General features: G+C 41.6%; 1 protein-coding gene across 3 annotated transcripts in view, besides 1 other annotated feature; it reads right to left on the reverse strand.

Annotated features, from left to right (window-relative positions):
- The window catches only part of SERGEF (secretion regulating guanine nucleotide exchange factor), a 225,000-nt gene that overhangs the window by 103,077 nt on the left and 99,748 nt on the right, over nucleotides 1–22,175 (reverse strand). The gene's annotated exons all lie outside the window — the stretch shown is intronic.
- Nucleotides 7,568–8,069: an enhancer, noted in NCBI's record as "NANOG hESC enhancer chr11:17920239-17920740 (GRCh37/hg19 assembly coordinates)". NCBI's record gives its function as "activates a minimal SCP1, AML or CMV promoter by ChIP-STARR-seq in naive H9 embryonic stem cells {active_cell/tissue: H9 hESC(naive)}" and the evidence as "EXISTENCE:reporter gene assay evidence [ECO:0000049][PMID:30033119]".

The following is a 22,175-nucleotide window of genomic DNA, read 5'->3' on the forward strand; positions in this document are numbered from 1 at the left end:
ATAATGCTGGGAGAGACAGCCAGTACCTTGGATGAGATGCTCTGGACTCAACGAGATGAACAAGTAGAAACACATAGGTTATAATTTAAAATGTGAATTCCTAAACTCAGTTTCAAAAAAAAAGTTGTAGAGATGCAGAATTGGCAAGACCTGACTAAAAAGCATTTCTTGTGAAAAAAGATCCATACTTGCAATTTGAGTCAGCAATGTGACATAGCCTCTCAAAAAATAGGATCCTGGGCTGCATTACATTTTTGCCCACAAAAATGAACTGGTCCTAGTGTCCTCTGTGCTGGTCACATCATATTTGGAGAGCTGTGGTCAGTTCGGGACTCTCTCTCACATTTTAAGATACTGAATTTAAGGAATAATAAGATCAAAGTAACCAGAATATTAAAACATGTAGAAATTGTCATATAATGAGCTGCTGAAGAAACAATACATGTTAAGCCTGGAAAAAAAGATTTGTAGGGACGTGGTAGGTGGAGGTGCATATGACTCTTCAAATAACTGAAAGACAGTCACATAGAAAACTTGTTCTGCAGGGTTCCAGATGGCAAAACAGTGTTATTAACATAGAATGTGGTCTAATATGCAGAAGAACCTTTTTAACACAGAGCTATTCTAAAACAGAGTGGTATATCTTGTAAGGTGGTGAGCTACTACCCACTATGGGAAGCATTTAAGTACAGACTGCCTCTCAAAGCTAATTATTAAAATCCTTTTGAGTTCTGAGTTTCTGTATCTGTCCTACTATTGGCTAGACATTTTTCCTAAGCCACCACCTTCTTTGGTCTCCTTGTCTATCTTTTAGGATCTTTTTTCCAAGTGGGCAAAAATTCTGAAAATAAGTATTTGCATATAGATAAATTCTGGAGTAGGACTATGCCTAAAATGGGGGTGAAAAAGGGGAGGGGAAGCTTCCAGCTTTTTCCAGAAAAACACTACAGAGTTAGGAAAAATGTGAGGAGCACTTGGGGATAAAAAGGAAGCATGCCTAGAAGATAGTAAAACATAAGAACACTATTATAGACTGATTGGATGAATGTCCCCAATTCTTACTCCTCCTCATATCCACATCCTTTGCCATGAATTGCCTTCCCATTCAGAGACAGTTTACCAGCCCGTCATCCTTTGGCTTTGGACTCAGCCATGTGACTTGCTTGGGTAACTAGATGTTAGCAAATGTGACACAAGTAGAGATTTGAAAAATCATTTGTATATTTATGCTCATTTTTGCCTTCTGCCCTCTGCCACTGCCATGAGAACTCACCCAGGCTACCCTGTTCAATGATGAGATATGTGGAACAGTGCTGAGCCACTCCCAGTTGTCCTAATCAAAGATCAGCCAAGACCTAGGCATGGGAGCAAGACCTGCCAAGACCAGAAGAACCACTTAGCTGAGCCACAGACACATGAACAAATAACTGTTTCTCGTAGTAGAACCTAGAAGTTTTTAAACTACTAGGTTATGAGTGATTTATTACGTAACATTACTGTGGCGATAGATAACTGACTTAAAACATCCACTAACATTTGTCTAGCACTGAGCGGTTTCCAAGTGTATTCACTGTTAATGCCCTGCAGCCCAAGACTACCAGGAACTTGTGTGTAGTTGAACAGACGGGTTTACTACTTATTGCTGTGAAGGAGAACACACACTACAGGAAACCATGGAGCATCTCTGGGAGGTGGAGGTTGCCGTGAGTTGAGATCATACCACTGCACTCCAGCCTGGAACATATTAGAAAGGACTCTATTAGACAGAAAAGTGGGATGTTTGGTGATTTATGGCTTGGACAATGTTCATGTTTTGTCTGTGTTCACACATGATTACAAAGTGGTCTTATTTTTGTCTTGATCCATCATGGTCACAGAGTGGCCTTGTCTGATGTTGACGTTTTGTCAAGTAGTATATGTTCAACAGGAGAACATCAAGACCTACCTGAGTGCCAGGCCAGCTCACAGCAACACCAAGGCCCAGTGACTGATAGTACCAGGCCAGTTCCTGGATGCCAGGGAATGATTTTCTCTTTATCTGTACAGAACCTTATTTGATCCACAAAATAGCCCTAAAAGTAGGTTTTATTATGACTTTTTTAAATAGATGAGAAAATTGAGGCTCATGGACATTAAAAGCCTGGTCCAAGGTCTGACATATGTAAGCTGTCTGACCTTGGGCATGAAGCCTGTACTTTTTGAACCTTTGCTTCTTCATTGTAAAATGGGTGTAGTAATATTTGCCCCACCAGATAGTGAAGATTAAATGAGATCAAATATGCTAAAGAACCCAACCCATCTCCTAGTATCTAGAAGTGGTTCAACCAATATTACTACTTCCATCTCCCTTGATATCCCCACTCTTTTCATATCATGGGGCCTCTGGAAAACATCTTTATATGGAATCTATATCAAGGTAATTTTCATTGTTGTAAATAAATACTGGGCCTCTTTTCAGAGAGGCTCCCCTACATGAGGCTATTTCATAGTTCAGCTGGTTCCACAGTGGCTCAGCTCTATACAAGCCACTAGTATCCACGTGCAGAAAGATCTTGTGTATATGCTCAACTCTCATATGATGTGATGAGTACAGCCAAATGGGCAGGGATGCATGGGTAGATCAGCCTTGAGATCAGAAGGCTGAACATAACTTCACAATATTAAAAGTTATGGGCTACATGGAATAAACTATCACTCAAACCAGTGTTCCTCCAGCAAGAAAACCACAGGCACATAGAAAGGGTGGAACTAAATATCTTGCTCAGCCTCCATGACACTGAGGGTGTCAGAGAAATGGTCTGAGTCTTAATTCTGGCCTTAGCTCTTGCCTGGGATTGTGCAGCAGCTTCCTTGTGCTCCTCTCCCCTCTGACCTCTCCCCCACTCTGTCAAAATGGTCTTCCTAAAGTACAAGTGAATTATTTTGCTCCACATTGCCGAAGTCCAAATTCCTTTGTCTGGTATTTAAGATCTTCCATGGTCTAGACCCAATGCAGTTCTCTAGCCTCTTTCCCCAGTAAAATTACCCACAAGTACTTGCACTCCTACCTCATCAAACCCCTCCACACAGCATCCCACCACCCCACTCCTCATCATGCCCAACTTACACTGTGCTCTCACTTCAGTGTACCTTCACCACTCATCCTTGAGAAGGAAGGAGAGAGGAGAAGAAGAAAAGGAAAAGAATTACATTTAGTGATTACTAAACCTATTCTAGGTACTTTTGGTGGATTAACACATTATATCCACATTTTATAGATTAACTGAGAAATAGGATGGTTAAATACCTTGACTAAAAGCACATAGCTAGTAAGTGGATGGGCCACTTCATAAGTAATTGCTTCCTCCTCTGGGTCCTGCTATAGAAATAGTACTTTCTCTACTTATTATTAAGTGGTTTTCAAATCTGTCTCTTCCCAAATTATATTGATTATAACTTTCTTAATCACGCGGGATATATTTCATTCATTTCTATCCCCAGTGGCTTGCACAGTGCTGTGTACATAGTAGGTCTTAATGAGATGTTTGTTGAATTGAAGCCACTTATCTGGGTACCCCTTACTGCTCCTGGCTCAGAGGCTGACACATTAGTACTCAGGAAATGCTAAATGAATGACACTGAATTTATCTCTGAACTTCCTCAGCTCCTCACCAGGGTCTTGTAAATGCATTGAACTCTGTAAGTAATGGCTGAATTCAGAGACTGATGATCCTTCAGACGTTAAGAATTTGAGTCAGTGGCTAAACAGAATGGCCTCCCAAAACATCACAGGCAGATCCCACAAGGCCTAGGGAAAAGTTCCCTGGGTGATGCCACAGGGCAGAGACAGTTAAAAAGTGGGCCTGTAGTGTATGGGGAAAGGCAGCACAGCCCCTTCCTGTCTCCATTCTATCCCCAACAACAACAACCAGATGACAGGCTGACTCTGAGCCATTTGTGCACAGAGCCCAAGAATCTTTGCCTTTGCTGCAGCTGCACAGCAGAGCTTGGCTGGGCCACTGCCAGGCATGAGGCACAAACACGTGAACATGGCCCCTAATCAAGAGGCCCTCTGGTACCCCAGAGCCCCTCACCGTAAGGATCACTTTTGATTTTGTGATTAAAACAAAACAAAACGTATTGAGGCCAGGTCCTAAAGCTTTACTCTTTCTGGGATTAAAAAGTCAATAATGAAGATAAGATGTGACAGAGAGATCAAAGCTTATCATAGCAAGTGTATACAATATAACATTGAACACAGCAGCAAGAATGATGAATATATCTTTTGCAGCTGACTGGTGCCACGTAACCCAGCCTGACAGACTCTCTTCCTAGGCACAGCCCGACAAGTCAGCAGACTTAGGAGTGCTGCTGTCCTGTCCCCAGGGGCAGCTTGCTAGAATCCCACTGCCAGAAGTCCAGTTCCTAGCTGAGTGATCATCACAGTGACCTTCTTGATCTACTGACATGACTGCAACTTTTCTGGTACAAAATAAAGTTGTAGATTTTCAGGTTCTGTTCTGGGTGACATACATATACATATACATAATAATTTTTAAATAAAGTTTATTTATTTTTTTAGGTTATAAAAGTAATATACACTTATTGCAAAGAATATAATAAGGAAAACAAAAACACCCATAATCCCACTGTCCACTTAACACGTGGTATATTCCCTTTAGTCCTTTCCTATCGATATTTGTCTGCATGTGAATAAAATATATATAATTTCAGAAACACAGCTTATAGTCATACTATATATTCAGTTTTATATCATGACCTTTGCCTTTAACATTTTATGTTTCCCATATCATTGTTTCATTGAAAATGTGATTTTCCAGACTTTATAGCATCATAGGAATATACCTTATTTCACTATTTCTCTTCTATGGGGTACCTACATTACTTTCAATAACTTGTCATTATAAAGTGTGTGGTGAACAAAAAATCTTAACATCTCTAATTATTTCCTTGGGATAAGTTTTCTAAAATAGAATTATTGAAAAAGGGGCTATGAATCTCTTTAAGACAACTATACAATTTGGGGAGTACATTTTATTAAGATCATTGACAAAATGAACCACATTCAGAAGAAAAAGAACAAAATGGGGAAAAGGTAGCAATATTGAAATGATAATATTGGCTAACATATATGGGGTGTATATAATGTCACAGGAAAAGGGCTTAGGAATTTTGTTTGCATGCATTAGCTCATTTAATCTGTGATTTAATTCTATAAAGTATACGTACATAAGGAAACCATAGGTCAGAGAAGTTAACTTTTTCAATATTACAGTTCATAGGTGGCATAGCTGCAATTTAAATCAAATTATGGTATAATTCCAGAGAGTACACTTAATGCTATGCTACAACGTATCACATAAAAAATAAAGGGAAAAAAATGAGTGTTTTCAGTCTGGAGAACAGAAGACTTGGAAGGGGAAGGGAAGGGGAAGGGAAGGGAAGGGGAAGGGAAGGGAAGGGGAAGGGAAGGGAAGGGGAAGGGAAGGGGAAGGGAAGGGGAAGGGGAAGGGAAGGGGAAGGGAAGGGGAAGGGAAGGGTAACGGGAAGGGAAGGGGAAGGGAAAGGGGAAGGGTAAGGGAAGGGTAAGGGAAGGGTAACGGAAGGGTAACGGAAGGGTAACGGAAGGGTAAGGGAAGGGAAGGGTAAGGGAAGGGTAAGGGAAGGGTAAGGGAAGGGTAAGGGAAGGGTAAGGGAAGGGTAACGGAAGGGTAAGGGAAGGGAAGGGTAAGGGAAGGGAAGGGAAGGGAAGGGAAGGGAAGGGAAGGGAAGGGAAGGGAAGGGAAGGGAAGGGAAGGGAAGGGAAGGGAAGGGAAGTCTTAAAAAGTCAAAGTACACCTTAATATTAGAAAGGCCATTCTAAAAATAAAGCTCTACCAAAAATCAAAGGACTGTCTCCAGGTGGGCCTAATCAATCACACGTGCCCTTTAAAAGCTGAGAGTTTTCTCTGGCTGATGGCAGAAGGAGAAATCAGAAAGACTAGGAGCACAAGAAGGATGTAAGGGACCATTGCTGGGTTTGAAGATGTGGTGCTACATAAAAGAACTGGAGAGCAGCATCTATTGCTGACGACAACTCAAGGCTGACAACCAGCAAAGATACAGGGACCTCAGTCCTATAATCTCAAAGAACTGACATCTCCCAACAATCTGAACAAGCTTAGAAGCTGATTCTTCCCTAGAGTCTCCAGGTAAGAATCCAGTCCAGCTGACACCTTGATTTAGGCTCTGTGAAATCTTAAACAGAAAGCCCAGCCAATCCCACCCAGACTTCTGGCTTACAGTACTATGAACTATTAATTATGTGCTGTTTTAAGCCACTAAGTTTGTGGTAATTTGTTATGCAGCAAGAGAGAACTAATACAATGGATAAGTGAATAAACAAAGCATAGTACAACCATATAATGGAATACCACTAATCAATACAAAAGCAACAGTCTACTGAAACACATAACAACATGGATGAATCTCAAAAACCACTGTGCCGAGTGAAAGAAGCCAGGCACAAAAAAGTAAATAGTGCATGATTTCATTAATATGAAACTCTAGGAAAGTCAAATCTAATTTATAGTGATAGAAAGCAGGCAGAAAAACAAATCTAATGTATAGCAATAGAAAGGCTGTGGTTGGGGTGGATTGGTTGACTGATCCTATCCCCTTCCTGTCTGACTTTTCTGCCTCCACTTGTACCTTCAGCCTAGCATGGAGAATGGGGAGGTCCACTCACAAAACACACCACTATATATTCATTTCTTTCTCTGCCACTCTAAGAAGACTAAGGACCCCATTAACCCCTAATGTTGGTAAACGGTCTATCAAAAGCACAATTTGAAACCTTAAAATACATTCCAGAAGGGAATAACCAAGTTTTCAAAAAGCTATGCTACATAGATTTCTCTTGTCAAGTTCCATTTAATAATATGTCCCATTTATAGAGGGGCCACACTGGCAGGGCTGAGCATTCATGATAATTTAACACTATTAAAAAATATATTTTAAATAAGTAGGCAGCAATGGTGACTGAGAAACTCAGGAATCTGGCCCTGTCTTGCCTTCAAGCAATATACAGGTCAAATATTTTTGAATGAATTCCTGTTCTAGCAGCTCTAAAGTGAAGCTGTGAACATAAGCTGTCACCCTCTGCCACACACAGCAGGAAGGGTGCACGGCAGGGAGAAAGGAACATGAGCTCTGCAATCACAGACTGTCAGGAAGCTACTGCAGTAGTCCAGGTAAGAGTAGGTTGAACTTCAGGTTCTATCACAATCTTCTGTGAACTTGGCCAAGTTACTAAGACTTTCTGGGCCTCAGTTTTCTCACCTGCACAATAGGAATTATAGTACTAACCTCACAGGACTATCCTAAGAGTTGAATTCAGTTAGCTATTATTTAGCATCTTGGACAAAGTAGATGCTTACATGATGGTTCACTTGCCCCCTTGTCCACTGAATATCTAATGGCCCAGAGAAACAAAAGGGGAAGTGTGAAATTGTTTGAGGGGTAGGAAAACGTTTTTCCCCCAGACCTCCTTTATATTTCATTAAGAAACATTAGATGGAAAAGAAAAACAACTCTTCCAAAACTTTGAGTTTAATTCTCTCTAAATGTGTTAGCTATAATTTTATGAGCAAACAAAACATTTTTGCACCCATCAACAATTATTTTAGATCTCTAAAGGCCTGATATGGTTTGGTTCTGTGTCCCCACCAAATCTCATGTCAAATTGTAATCCCCAGTGTTGGAGGTGGGGCCTGGTAGGAGGTGACTGGATCATAGGCGTGGCCCTTCATGAATGATTTAGCACCACCCTCTCGGTGCTATTCTCATGATAGTGAGTGAGTGATCGTGAGAGCTGGTTGTTTAAAAGTATGTAGCACCTCCTCCTTCTCTCTCCTGCTCCTGCTCCAGCTATCTAAGACATGCCTGCTTCTTCTTTCCCTTCCACTATGATTGTAAGTTTCCTCAGGCCTTCCCAGAAGCAGAAACCACTATGCTCCCTGTACAGCCTGCAGAACCATAAGCCAATGAAACCTCTTTTCTTTATAATTTACCAAGTCTCAGATATTTCTTTATAGCAGTGTGAGAACAGATAAATACCAGGGCACTTTAAAATCACTGTATATTTCCATTTTAATTAATAATTTGGTCCTACTCTAAAAAATGACTTTTTTCCCTTCTACGGTTTCAAAATTTCCATCAGTAATAATATAATCCAAAATTTACTGAGTTCTATGTGCCAAGTACAATGCTAAGAGTTTTACAAGAATTATTTCATTTAATCCTTACTAAAGCCCTACATTGCAGGTTCCATCATTGTTTCTATTTTACAGATAATAAAACTAAGGCTTAGAGAGTCTCAGTGATTTGTCCAAATCTACACCAAAGGTGTACCTATTAATATATCACCATACCATACCTCTTCTGTGAAATACAGCATCTCTAGCAGCAACAACAGGAATATGTAAGAAACTTCCTTGACCACCTTCACTTCATATCAGATTAGGAAAGTAACTTAGAAAGATATTCATTCATCAAACATTTAATGAGGCCAGGTATGGTGGCTCACACCTGTAATCCCAGCACTTTGGGAGGCTGAGGCAGGAGGATCACTTGAGGCCAGCGGTTCAAGACCAGCCAGGACAACATACTGAGACCCCCCATCTCTAAAAAAAAATTAAAAAATTAGCCAGGCATGGTAGCACACACCTGTAGTCCTAGCTACTCAGGAGGCTGAGGTGGGAGGATGGCTTGAGCCCAGGAGTTCAAGGCTGCAGAGAGCTATGATGGCATGACTACACTCCAGCCTGAATTTTGAGACTCTTGCCTCCAAAAAAAAAAAAAAACTAAATAAAAAATTAATGAACATGTACTATATGTCAGGCAATGTGCTGGCACTAGGGATACAGACAGAATGAAGACAATATCCCTACCTTCTAGGAGTTAAGAGTAGTGGGCTAGAGTTTGCTTTAAACAATATTTCAAAGCTGACTGAAATATCACCAAGGGGCAGTACACATAGTGGCTAATAGTGCAGGGTCTAGAAACAGACGGCCTGAGTTTGAATCCTGGCTCTGCCTTATTTGAGCTATGTGACCTTGGGCAAGCTGCTTAACTCTAAGCGTCTCAGTTTCCCCACCTAAAAAACAAGAATAACATAGTTGCCATTTCGCTAGGTTACCATGAGATTTGAATTATGATATGCAAAATGCTTAGAGCAGTATTGTACAAAGTACCCTATACATGACAGCTATTCTTAATACCCACAAAACATCAATCTCGGCATTGCTATCATCCTGAATATATTTTAAAATTTGATCATCTCTTCCAACAAAATCTATGTACTTATAGCAGCTAAAAGTCATCTAACTTTCCTATTTGATATATGCTAATGGCTCCAATTGCATTTATTATTAAACTAAAATCTACTGTTTATTCTCTAATAACCTTTTTAGCTTATTGAGTCAATGGTTCAGTGACCCTACCTAGGGGATTAGCGGAGAAGTACAACATACTTCTGACAATTCTAACTGCTTTGCCAACCATAAACGTTCATACAAACATGAACCACTGGTGTTACTATGCCAGTTATAACCACCAGGTGCTCATACCTGTAAGTATATTTATGTGTGTGGAAGCATACAATGGGGAGACTGGCCTTAGGAAATACCAAGTGACATGGATGGTACATCAGAAATTCAAAGATAAACAAAGACTACTTGAGAGTTTCACTCAGCCACATTGTAAAAGGAGCCAAAAGTTTGCTTAATAAAGAGGGAGGAGAGAAGGGGACCAGGAATGGTGGCAGTCGTGGTGAAGAACACTGAACATAGATGTGAAATAGGCAATTCACCTGCACCTAAAATTCAAGCTGCACAAAACAGAACACACCGTCTACCCCCACCTCATCCCTTCCCACCCCCAAATCTGTTTCCCTTACTGATCCTCCTATTTCTGTTAGGTGCTGCCATCACCATCATTGTAGTTACCTCAGAATCACCTCCTCCTCCCACTCCCCAAGTGTGGCCAACCACCAAATCCTGTAATTCTGCCTTCCTGGTTCTGCTCTCATGTTGCCCCTCTTTTCCATCTCTACTGCCACTCTACTAGTTCAGGCCCTCAAAACACCTGTACTGGACAATGGCAATAGTTTCTTAAGTGTTTCCTCTCTCTGCTGTTTCTTCTTCTCTCCAATTCATTGGATGCCCAAAGTAACCTTTCTAGACTTCAGCTCAGACTAGCAACTCCTCTGCTCAAAACCTGCTAATGGCTCCCCTGAGCCTATAGAACAAACCACGAATCCTTTAGCTAGACGTTTAAGTGTTCATCAATGAACAGGTTACAGCTCACTTTTACAGCCTACATCCCACCACATCTTCCACCACAAGAAGTCCATGCTCCAACCAAAGTGGACTGTAAACTAATGATTTCTAATGGCACTACCAGCATTTCCTCTCTGTACCTCTGCCTATGCTAGTCCCTCCCTTCCTGATCTCTGCCTGTCAGCTCCTTCTGTCAAAACACTGCCCATCCTTCACACTCAGCGGAATCCAACTTCTCCATGAAGTCTTTCCTAATCTTCCAGCTAGAAGAAATTTCATCATGCTCAGAATTTTGACAGCACCATAACTACAGTTCTCATGACAATGAGCATTTTCTTCCATGACAGCTGTTTTATGTGTGTGCTTTATCCCTCCTGCCCTCTTAAAGACTTTAGTTCCCACCCACCACTCTGCGTCTAGCACCAGGATGGCAGCAGAGCAGGAGAACATGTTACTTTTTTCTTAGAGCTTCAGTTTCCATATCTGTAACGTGAACATAACTCAATCTAACTCACAGGAATAACAAGAGAATTAAATAAGATACTAAATACAAATTATCAGCACACAGTAGGTAGTTACCAAATCCAAAACTCCATTCTTCCCTTTCACATAGCAGGGTACTTTGTTGGACAGATAAAAGGTTGCATGCTTTATAGTTTGCAAAGAAACATTACTGTATTTTTTCACTGAAGAAGGGAGAGAGGGATGGAGGGAACAAATGAGTAAACATGCAGCAGACAGGAGTAGTCCACTTTGACAAACCTATATGGGAATTGAAGGTTTGATTGATGAAAGAGCTATAACGTTTGGCCTGATTGCTTTACCAAGTTTTAAGTTCAAAAGTTGGGAGTCTATCACTCTGCATGATGTATGAAAGGACAGAGGACCAGAAGATCACTAAGAGGCTGCTACAGTGGTCCAGGAAAGAGGGCGCAGACACCCGGCTATGGCTGGTGGAAGCCACAAGGGAGCAAACAGGAATGGATGAATTTGCAAAGCATGTTCAAGAGAAAAAATGGCAGAGTTGGTGAGTGCAGATGAACTAACTGACTGGAGCACTCTCATCAAGCTGAATCACAGAGAACCCCAAGCCTCGGTAACTAGAAGAACAGAAGAACACCCAGAAGAATGGAGGGATTTGGGGAAGGTAGGAGGTGTCAGGGGAGCAGCACATGTACAAAGAACATAAGTTTACTTTTTTAGTTAGGTGGAACATGGGCAGAAACGAGGAATTAGTGCCTGGTGGCCCTCAAGGACTGAGAAGCCACTTCAGAGACAAACAAACAAAAAATCATTTTGTACATGAGCGCCTGCAAGGATTAGCTGAACAAGAAGCATGCAGGACTAGAGTTGCCAACATGCTGAGCTCATGAGCTTTCTAGAAGACAAGGGACAAGGGATATCTGCCTATCTACCAGACATCACCTGCCCCAAGGAAATGACTTCTAAGCTGTCTTTCCTTCCTTACACTAACAAGGCATGTTATTACAAAAGGAGGTCCTAAACTGTTTTATCTGCAAAGAGAATCCAGAGAGTTGATGCCTTTTCCAAATTAAGAGTTGGCTTTCCTCGGAAGGATAAAATCTGCCATTAGGACTCATAATTTATTAGCTGGGCAGCTTTAGCTTGGTCATTTAAACTCTCTAGGTCTCAGGTATTTCACTTGTTAAGTACAATAACAGTATCTCATGTGCCAGAAAGGACCAGAAGATTTCAGGAGGTCTCTCAGCTCTAAGATAGATAATTCAAAATTTATTCTAAACCCTGCAGGTCACACTCTAGTCTCTCTGAACCCCTGGACTGTGACTCACTGCGGAAGCCTACATGATATGATGATGAAGAAAAACCTGGCAAAAACACAGAGTTGAGAGTGGGGGCAGAAACTCCAACTGGCAGGTCCAGTCACAAGAAGATACAGCTAGAATACTAAAGCTGGCCTGGGGACAGAAGATAATTAATCTTCAAGGCAATAAAAATATTTAATTCATTCATCTGAGAGAAATGACAAGAAAGAAGATAGATATTTCCTTTTTCCCTCCCTGTTCTGACAAGGTTACCCTAGATAGATTGTAGAATGTTTAATGAACATTTAGTATAAAAGCCTGAGATGCAAACAAGTAAATGAGGAGAGGCCTGGGCAGCAAGCAATGGAAGCTGACATTGTAGAGGCTGCAACCAGGACAGACATTTCCAGAGCAGAGCTTTGGGAAGAGAAGCTTATTTGCAATTGTTCAGGTGGCAGCAAAAGTTAAAACACGGGGAGAGATATAAAAGAAATTCCAAAGGTAAAAATCACAGGATTTGATCATTGAACAGATAAATATGGAAGGAAGGAAGAGGCACACTGAAGCTGCCTGAGCTTTCTAACCATGATCAGAACTGAGGAGTCATTAATGTAGGGAAGAGGACAGCCGTGGAGAAAAAGGGAAAGGGGAGTCTCCACTTCCGTAGGTCATCTTAAGTGACAAGGTAACAGCCATCAACTATGAACACTATAATCCCTCCTTCACCTTGGCCGTGTAGGCCTTGCAGGCATCACCACAAGTGCCAGATCAGTTAGCCCACAACTGCTCTGTGTGCCTAGAACAGAGGAGTAGGTATCTAGGGCCAGGGGAGTATATGCAGGGAAGTGTTCAGGGATTGGGATAGTAGCAAAGCCGAGGGAAGAGGAGAAAATGCAGCCCACTGCTTTAGACCCTGTGTTGATTTTGTATCAGAGGGCTAATGAGGGCTCCAAGAAACAGAAAAGCATTTCCAAGGCTGGAAGTAGGAACATTGGCCACAGCCTGAACCAGTGAAGCAGAAGTGAAGTCCTCAAGGAAAAGAGTGGGGGTTCTCCAAGGTACCCTTTGCAGCAGCTAAAAGTGAATGGTTGAGGACTAAAGTCTACTCTTAAGATAAATGTCCATGACCAAAGAGGCTGGGATCCTGGAAAGACTACCCAGCCAGCCTCCACCATGCCAGACTGAGCCCCGCTGGGGCATTCGACTATAGCCACAGGCCCTGCCTTTCAATTCCTTTAATGTAACTGTTCTAGGAAGAGAGGTGACTCTTGATAAACTTCAAATTATAATCTCTCTCCAGCTTTACTCTGTCTATTCAAACCATTTCTATGAACTGTTAGGTGACTCTAGTGACAAGTCCTAGTTTAAGAATAAATGGAAATTTATATGACTATGTCAGCCTCTGAGTAGAAACCTCCCTAGGTATCAAGAAGCATTTCTTCTTTCCTTCTCCCTCTTTCTTTATTTTAGTAAATACCAACTAGATGCAAGGCCTACCAGTCTGCAAACAGATATAACCTTCCAAGACCAAGGAAATTATTTAGAGGCATTTAAAACCACCTTCTCTGACCCAAAACACAATGCAATGCAGTGCAAGACAGAAACTTCTGCTTGAGAACTGGATCAGTCCTGGATGCCTGATTCCCTGGGTCATCAAAGCCTAATTCTCACAGGCAGAAGTTTCACCTATCCTAATGGGTTCATCTGTTTTTCCAACTTTGCTCAACCCAGAGACTACTTGACATCTGAAATATCAACTGTCTTCCAAAACATGTTGGTCTTGAAATTGGCCCTGAAAGATCCTACACAAATACTTCATTTGATTAGCAAACTTTAGTACATCTATAAGAATATGGGTACACATTTCTGCATTTCAGTTGTAACATCAATACTTGGTCCAAAGACAACATTCCTCATACTGGAGACTATCCAAAATATCCAGGAAAATTTATTAGGGAGATTGCTTTTATTCCACCCTCTGTTTCTCTTCAAAAGCGAAAGAGATGCTGTACAGAATTTAAATGTTCTAACAAACATTGTCTTTAAAGCAAATTTCAATAAATTGAAGTGTAATTTATTGAAACAATTTTTAGTCACAATGAGCCCAGTTTTCTCACAGAATAGCATAAAAGTGCAATGGCCTGGGTTCTTGACACACTCAGCTTTTCTGACTGTGAGAATCTGAGCCCTTGCTCTGAGGCAAGACCCATTCCTACCAAGCATTCTTGGGGAGGCACCAGCCTTGCTGAACAACCAGCACTGGCTGAACCAGGCTTAGTCTGAGGAGGAAGGATGCAGTTATCTGGCAGAGATTGGAGTGACCTTGGAATCCAAAGTCAGCAGGACCCAGGGCTCCTTCTCTAATGGGTAATTTATAAGTGGAGACCATTGGGTCTCTCAGAGCTCACATGACAGGAGTCAGAGGTGACAGGAGTGAAACCCAGAAAGAAGAAGTGAATGTTTTCAGAGACCCATTAGAAATGAGGACAAGTGCACAAATGGGAACTGTGTGGTTGTAACAGCACTAGACTGGCCTATGCTCTGGTCCTTTCCTCTCTGTCCCTTAGTCTGCCCATCTCTAAAATAAGGAGCTTGAAAAATAAATAAATAAATAAATAAAATAAGGAGCTTGGATGAGCAGATCCTTAGGGTCTCAGTCAGCCTCGAAATTCTGAAATAGATTCCAACCCCAGATTGCTGAGGAGGTCTCCAGCCTTAACAAGGCAGTCCTGAGACCAGCATGGGAGGCCACTAGCATCTTCCCTTCATTTCTTCCTGTCTTGACCCAATTCATCACTCAAAACCTAGTTTGAATGCCACTGCCTTCAAGAAGCTTCCCCTGACCCTTCTGGCATAACCACTCATTCCTTCTCTAGGAGCTCCTAATTTGTGTTGGTGCTCAGCACTGACACTGTCAGAGGTGGATGCTACATAGTTGGAGCAGGGCACGGGGAGGGGTGGGCTGATAAGGAAGGGAATACAGGAGACAGGCAAACTGAAACATTACCAACCCTTTCCTCATTACCGTGCAGAACTCTCAAACCCAGTTTCAGCCTCCTGACAAAACCAGCTCTGCAAAGCCAAAAGACTTGATCCATGGTTTAGAATACCAGTGGCTAACGAAGTTTCGGTCTAAACCAGTCTCTGTCTTTTTTATTGAGAAAAAGCCATTCTTGAGCTGCGAGATATAAAAGCTTTGTGGTCTTTAGAGAAACAGAAGGCAAAATGGCCACAGGAACAATCACCTGCAAAGGGGGTTGGTGGGGTGGGGGTTGCAGCACAGAGCTAAGTGGGGGTGGGGCGCTTGGTGGCTCAGGCTCTAGGAGACAGTGCCATGCTGTGGCCACCTGCCGCCTCTGCGCCGCCTTCTGCAGCCTCTGCAGGTACAGGAGGCCTGTTTCCTGACCCAGTTTTCTCCCCAATCTCTATTTAGCTGTTCGCTAGTGATGCTCCTGGCATGCCAATCAGATACTGCAGCCGGCAGTGCAGTTTGTTACAACAAATTCACAGTTCCTAGTAAATTCAGTGGAAAAGTACTGTGTCAAGCAGCCTAATTAAACTGACGTAATTTCCACAGCCATACACTTCTATCAAATAAGAAAAAAAAAAAAAAAACCTCAGGGTAAAAAGAAAGAAATCATGTCTTTCGATCTTATGAAACTGAATGTGGTTGTAATATATTTAAAGAATGATTCTGCTCAGTGTCCTTGGAGCCACAGTTGTCCAAGTCTTGGGCCCTAGATGAGACTTTGGACTGTGCTGGGAAGAGCACTAGGCTATAAGTCTGCAGGCCCTTCTTCTCCTCGCCCAGTCCATGACCCTCGGAAAGCTATTTCCAGTGTCTTGGGGAAAGAGGAAAATATCAAACTGGATTATCATTAAAACATCCTGTGAGTCTCTTATTCTCTAGTCTGTCAAACTGTCAAACTTATGACCAAAAAAAAAAAAAAAAAAAATGTACTTTCATCAGACTAGTGAAACAAGAACTGAACTAGAGGTCCCCATTCTGGTCCCAGTTCTACTACTAAATAATTAAGACCTTGAGCAAACCACAGGATCCCTAGAGACTTCAGAGTCTTCATCTGCAAAATGAGGGTGATGAACTGGATAAACTCTACAGTGCCTTCTGATGCTAATGCTCTATTCTATTCCATAAAAGATTAAATTGGTCAGCACTACCATGGAGGGGTCAGTTCTGAATGTCACCAATTGCATTTCAATCTGCCTACAATGGGCTTTCTCTTCTCACAATGAGAATTAGTTATATGTTCTTTCCCTGTGTTTAAAGATCTTCTATTCTAAAAATGTAAGGCAGATACTTGCCTCCTCTTTCTTTTGAGATAGCTCCGCAAATAAGGTTGCCCTTTTCCTCACTCCTCCCCAGGTACCACTCTTGGAGGAGGATAGAACTATCCAGGCAGAGGGGGAATGAGGGTTGCCTAAAGAAATATCAAATTGTCACTCAGGTTTCCAAGTACAAATTGAAAAAATAACCTGGACATTAGTCAGACAGATGATAAAGGTAGAGTCAGCCAAAAGGAGAAGGATCTCAGAGGGAAGATGGGGTAGGGAAAGGGAAATTGATAGTTAACTAGGAAACAAACATCAGGTTTCTCTTCAGACAGCAAAAAGGAACTGCTTGTAGGAGACAGCAAGGCAGACAAATCTAAGGGTAAGACAAAATAGCATGCATCCTCAACTCCATGGGCAGCTAATCAGCTACTAGTCCTAGAAATTCCACCTCCCTGATATTCTGAACCTATTTACTTCTCTCCATTATTGCTGCCATAACCTTAGTTCAAGTTCTCCGCAACTTAGCCCTCAATCACTGTCACAGTTTTCTGACTTGCCTCTTATCTCTCCCTTTCTCCAATCCATCTTTCACCCTGCCATCACAGTGATCTTTCTAAAACACTATTTTAAACAGCCACTCTTCTACTTCAGATCTTTCAATGGCCCCTCATCACCTTCAGAACAAAATAGGAGTCCTATACAATCTGGTTCCAGATGACCTCTCCTGTCTCATCCCTCACCATCCCTACAGGCTCTGCTCCAGTCATGCTGAAGTGCTTGCAGTTTCCTGAATGTGCAGCTTTGGATCTTCATATAAGCAGCTCTTTTTGCCTGAAACTCTGCCCTCTCCACAACTCCCCCAACCACCACCATCATCACTCACTCACTCTAAGGCAATTTCCGCTCATCCCTTAGGAGTCAGTTCAGACATGATCCCCTCCGAGAAGACTGTTCTGACCAGCTCCCTCAAATCTGGATGACATATCCCTCCTCTTATGCTCCACAAACATCTTATGTTTATGCCATCACAACCATTTCCATATTGAATTGTAAAGGGCTCCTGATTCCTTGATCTCCTCAACCATATTTTAACATCTTGGAACTCTAAATACAGTGCTTGACATCAGTATTCAGAAAACAGTTGATGAATGAGTGAGTGAGTAAATAAATAAATGCACGTGGGAAACCAAGCCTACCTGATAGATGGGGGAGCCTTAATGAATCAAAGCAATACTGACAGGACAAATGGTGAGAAATATGGGACAGATTAGGGAGAAAGCAGAACCAACAACAAATCTGACAGTAGAAAAAATAAAAGCAGAAACTAGTAAGAGCTCTAGCAAAGGGAAATGGATAGGGTTCCGTCATCAGCATGAGAAGCCACAGAAGAATCTCAGGGCCTGAGAGGTAAAACTTCTTCTTGCTGGAATCCATGGAACTCTCCCAAGAATAAAAAGGTATAGAAGCAGCAGAGAAATTAATAAATAGTTTAGCCTGGAATCACAGAAAAAACCTGGGGCTAAAGCCAGAATAAGCCTAGGCAGATCAAAGGGAAGATGCTGGTAGAAGGAGCCAGGAGTTACAATGGAAAGAGGACCGGTTTTGGAGTTAGGTAGCTCCACCACTTACTACCTCTGTGACCTTGGGCAAGTCAAGCCATTGTTTTCCTAGGAATCTTAGATTCTTCATTGGCAAAATGGGCATATGATACCTATTTCACAGAACTATTTAAAGAAACATATGAGACATACAACACTTCGTAAATGAAAGGAGCAATGTAATTGACAATTATTATTTGGCCAGAAGCTGTCTCTTCTGTTTGAAGGAATCCAGAGCTTATAAATTGTTCCAGATTCCTTGTGACGAGAAAGAACACATGTTGATAAAGGAATGTACTCCAAGGTATGAGGAACCTGATATGTTACCATTCCCAGTGGGAGATTCTGCTGGAAAGGTCAATGCTTAATCCAAAGGAATGGTATTAATAATGATGAACTTGTAAGCAGGATCAGGGCCCAGCTGGGATGGCACAGAATAATGTGTTATTTTGTGTAACTATCAGAATATAGATGTCTTCTTGATGATATGGCTAAGGTATCATCATGCTATTAGAGTCAAATAAAGGACAAACCAGAACTACATTTGTGCAGAGTGGAGTGGCAGAAGTGTCACCTGAATAGTGATCATCCTGGATATATCTCTCAAACTGAATAAAGGAAGTGTGTATTCAGAGAAGTAGAAACCAGGTCCTCCAATCTTAGACATTAAAATGTCATATATCCAAGAAGGAGCTCCTGGGGGGAAAGTTTCTGATTAGACCTCCCACAGAGGCAAGGGGCTGCAGCTGGAAAGCAGAGGACCAGGCTAGAGTTAGGGGAGTTGCATCCACCCCTTAGGGCCAGAGACTGAGTGTCCTAGACTAAGTGAGCCAGATGCTTCACATTTCTTCTCTCTTTGTCTAGTTCCCTATCTCTCATGCACTATCATTCAGACAAGTCAGAACACTGCCAGCCTGCCTCAGCTGCACTCAGGGGACTCACAGTAAGGTCAGGGTCCAAACTTGGATCAAGGGGTTAAAGGAGGCCTACAGTTCCCCTAAGATCCAAAAGAGGTGAATTCAGAGGAACAGACTTGGAACCATTTGCCACCTACACACACACACACACACACACACTCTCTCTCTCTCTCTCTCTTTCCCTCCAAGGCTAAATCTTGTAAGTTCAGGGTTGGTTAGTTGGTTTGCTTAGAGACAGGGTCTCACTGTGCTACCCAGGTTAGAATGCAGTGGTGAACTCATAGCTCACTGTAACCTCAAACTCTTGGGCTCAAGCAATCCTCCTGCCTCAACCTCCCGAGTAGTTAGGACTACAGGCATGTGCCACCACGCCCAGCTAATTAAAAAAAATTTTTTTATAGAGATGGAGTCTTGTTATGTTGTCGAGGCTGGTCTTAAATTCCTGGCTTCAAGCAATTCTCTCCCGCTTTAGTCTCCTAAAGAGCTGGGATTATAGCCATGAGCCATCATGTCTGGCCTGTTGTGGGTTTGTTTTAATAAGCTAAATCATGGGAATTTGTCGTCTGAAGTCTCCCTAATATTTTGCAAATCATACACCATTCACTCATTCATTCATTCATTCTACTTTTACTGAAAACCAACTATATGCCCAGCATAGGCGAAGAGGACATAGAGAAAAAAAATCAGAAATTACATGTGCCCTCAGAAGATGTCCAATGTAGATGAAGAAGAAAGATATCTATACTGAAAGCCACTTTAAAAAAAAAAAGGCAAAACCAAAAATCTGGCTGTGAATCAGTAACAAATACGCTAATACAAAGCATCAGTGCTGGGGATAGAGGAGGGTGGCCAGGAGGGCCTCGTGGCTCAGGTGGGTAGACAAGACCTCACAGATCAAGTAGAACCTAAGCTGGACCTTACAGAAGAAGCAATATTTAAATAAAAGTCAGGGAGGGAAAATAGTACTTCAAGACTGTGGCAACATTCATTCAACAAACGCTTATTAAACACCTATTCTGTGCCAGACATGGGGCACATGAGATGAATAAGAGAGGAACATCAACAAATACTTTTGAAGAACTTAATATGTATCAGGTAATGTTTTAAGCACTTTACCTACTCAATCTTCCCTGCAATCCAATATGGTAAATTACTGTTATAACCCTCATTTTACAAATGAGAAAAATGAGGCAGAGGAAAGGTGAGTAACTTGTATGAGTGATGGGGCCAGGATTCATGTCTGGCTCTGGGAAGTTTTTTGTTTAAGTTTTATTGAGGTATTTTATATATATTATATATATATTATATATAATATATATATTTTATATATTAAAATATATATAAAATATATATACACACATATATATACACACACACATATATTTAATGTGTGTAATTTGATAAGTTTTGACATATGTACACACTAGTAAAAATTTTTTTTTGAGACAGTCTTTCTTTGTCACCTAGGTTTTTTTGAGACAGGATCTCTCTGTTGCCCAGACTGGAGTGCAGCAGCACGATGGCTCACTGTAATCTCCACCTCCCAGGCTCAAGTGATCCTCCCCGCTCAGCCTCCCAAGTAGTTGGGACTACAGGTGCGCACCACCACACCCAGCTAATTTTTGTATTTTTTGTAGAGATGGGATTTCATCATGTTGCCCAGGCTGTTCTCAAACTTCTGGGCTCCAGCAATCTGCTCATCTCAGCCTCCCAAAGTGCTGAGATTATAGGCATTATCTACCATGCCCATCCTACACTAGTAAAATCTTTACCACAATCAAGATGATGAGCATATCTATCACCAAAAAGTCCCCTCGTACAGCCCTGAGCAGTTTTTGAATGACAACTCATTAATGGAAGCAGGGAAGTCAAGTGGAGGTAGCTGGGTAGTAGTTTGGAGTTTAAAAAAATGACAAATTTAGCTTTGGATATGATGAGTTTGAGCTTATATTCAGCAAATAGTCAAAAACAGGGAACTAGAGAGGGGCTTGGTAAGTGGAGGTGGGAATACTGATTCCAGAATAAAGATAAAAGTAAGACCCTATCCAAGAGGGAGAAACAAAACAAAACAAACAGAGAGAAGAGCAGGGGCTAAGAACTGAATCTGGGAGACATACAGTATAGAAGAGAAGAAGAGAAGATGGTGAAGGAGACAGGGGGATGACAAGGAGAAATACACAGTGTTATGAAAACCAACAGAGAACAAAGCTTCTAAAAAGTTAGATGCCAGAGAAAAGTCAAGGATAATGATGACACTGTATAAAAACATTTCAGAACCAGAAACAAACTCAGAAATGATATAATTTTTCTTTAAAAAAACACAGGGAATCTGAATACCATTTGTGGCCTAGTTAACAAGAGGTATTGTACCAATGCCCATTTCCTGATTTTGATATGATACGACAGTTACATAAGATTCTATCATTGAGGGAAGCTGGGTGAAGCGTATATAGGATCATCTGTATCAATTTCCCTCTGAATCTATATTTCAAAATTAAAAAGTTTAAAAACCAAGGAACGAACTGAACATCATCTAATGTATGCCAGGCATTGTACTAAACACTTTCATAATGAATGATCATTTTAATCTTCGAATAATCCTATTAAATAGATGCTATATTCCCATTTTATAGCTGACAAAAGTGAGAGGCATAATAAAGGACTTGCGCAGAATCACCCAGCTAGATTATGAGGGAGCCAAAGCATTCACTACTTCTTCTACCACAATGTGTATACATTCCACCTAAGGCAGCCCTGACAAGTGGCCTCTCGGCTCCAGCTTCAACAAGTCACAGCCTTCATATTTTACATCCACACAACTGTAGAATAAGCTACTTTACCCTATCCTAGCCCCAGTTTTCTCATTAGTAAAATGGAGCAATAACTCTTATCTTACTTAATTCATAGGACTGCTGTGAGATTCCAATGAGATAATGGGTGCAAAGGATCCTTACAAACTGTAAAGTCTGTGCCCATCTCAGGGACTGACATTCTGAAACAAATGACTGTGAGTTAGGTCAGCCCTGGCTAAACAGACAGAGGGAAAGAAAAAATATCTGCACTAGCAACTCTTGCTTGCCTGTCCTTTTGGGTAGTATATGACCCTGGGGATGCACTGGCTACCCGCAGCATCTGGCCAAGGGCAGGCAGTCCTCTCTGCATAAGCCTGTATCAGCAATACTAGACCCAATCACCATCCTGCCTCCACTAGCCCCACTTTCTTCCAGCCCCACACACATATGGCATGCTTGCCTGTGCAGATGT

The sequence above is a fragment of the Homo sapiens genome, chromosome 11 (genome assembly GCF_000001405.40).
Source record: "Homo sapiens chromosome 11, GRCh38.p14 Primary Assembly".
Classification (NCBI taxonomy): Eukaryota; Metazoa; Chordata; class Mammalia; order Primates; family Hominidae; genus Homo; species Homo sapiens.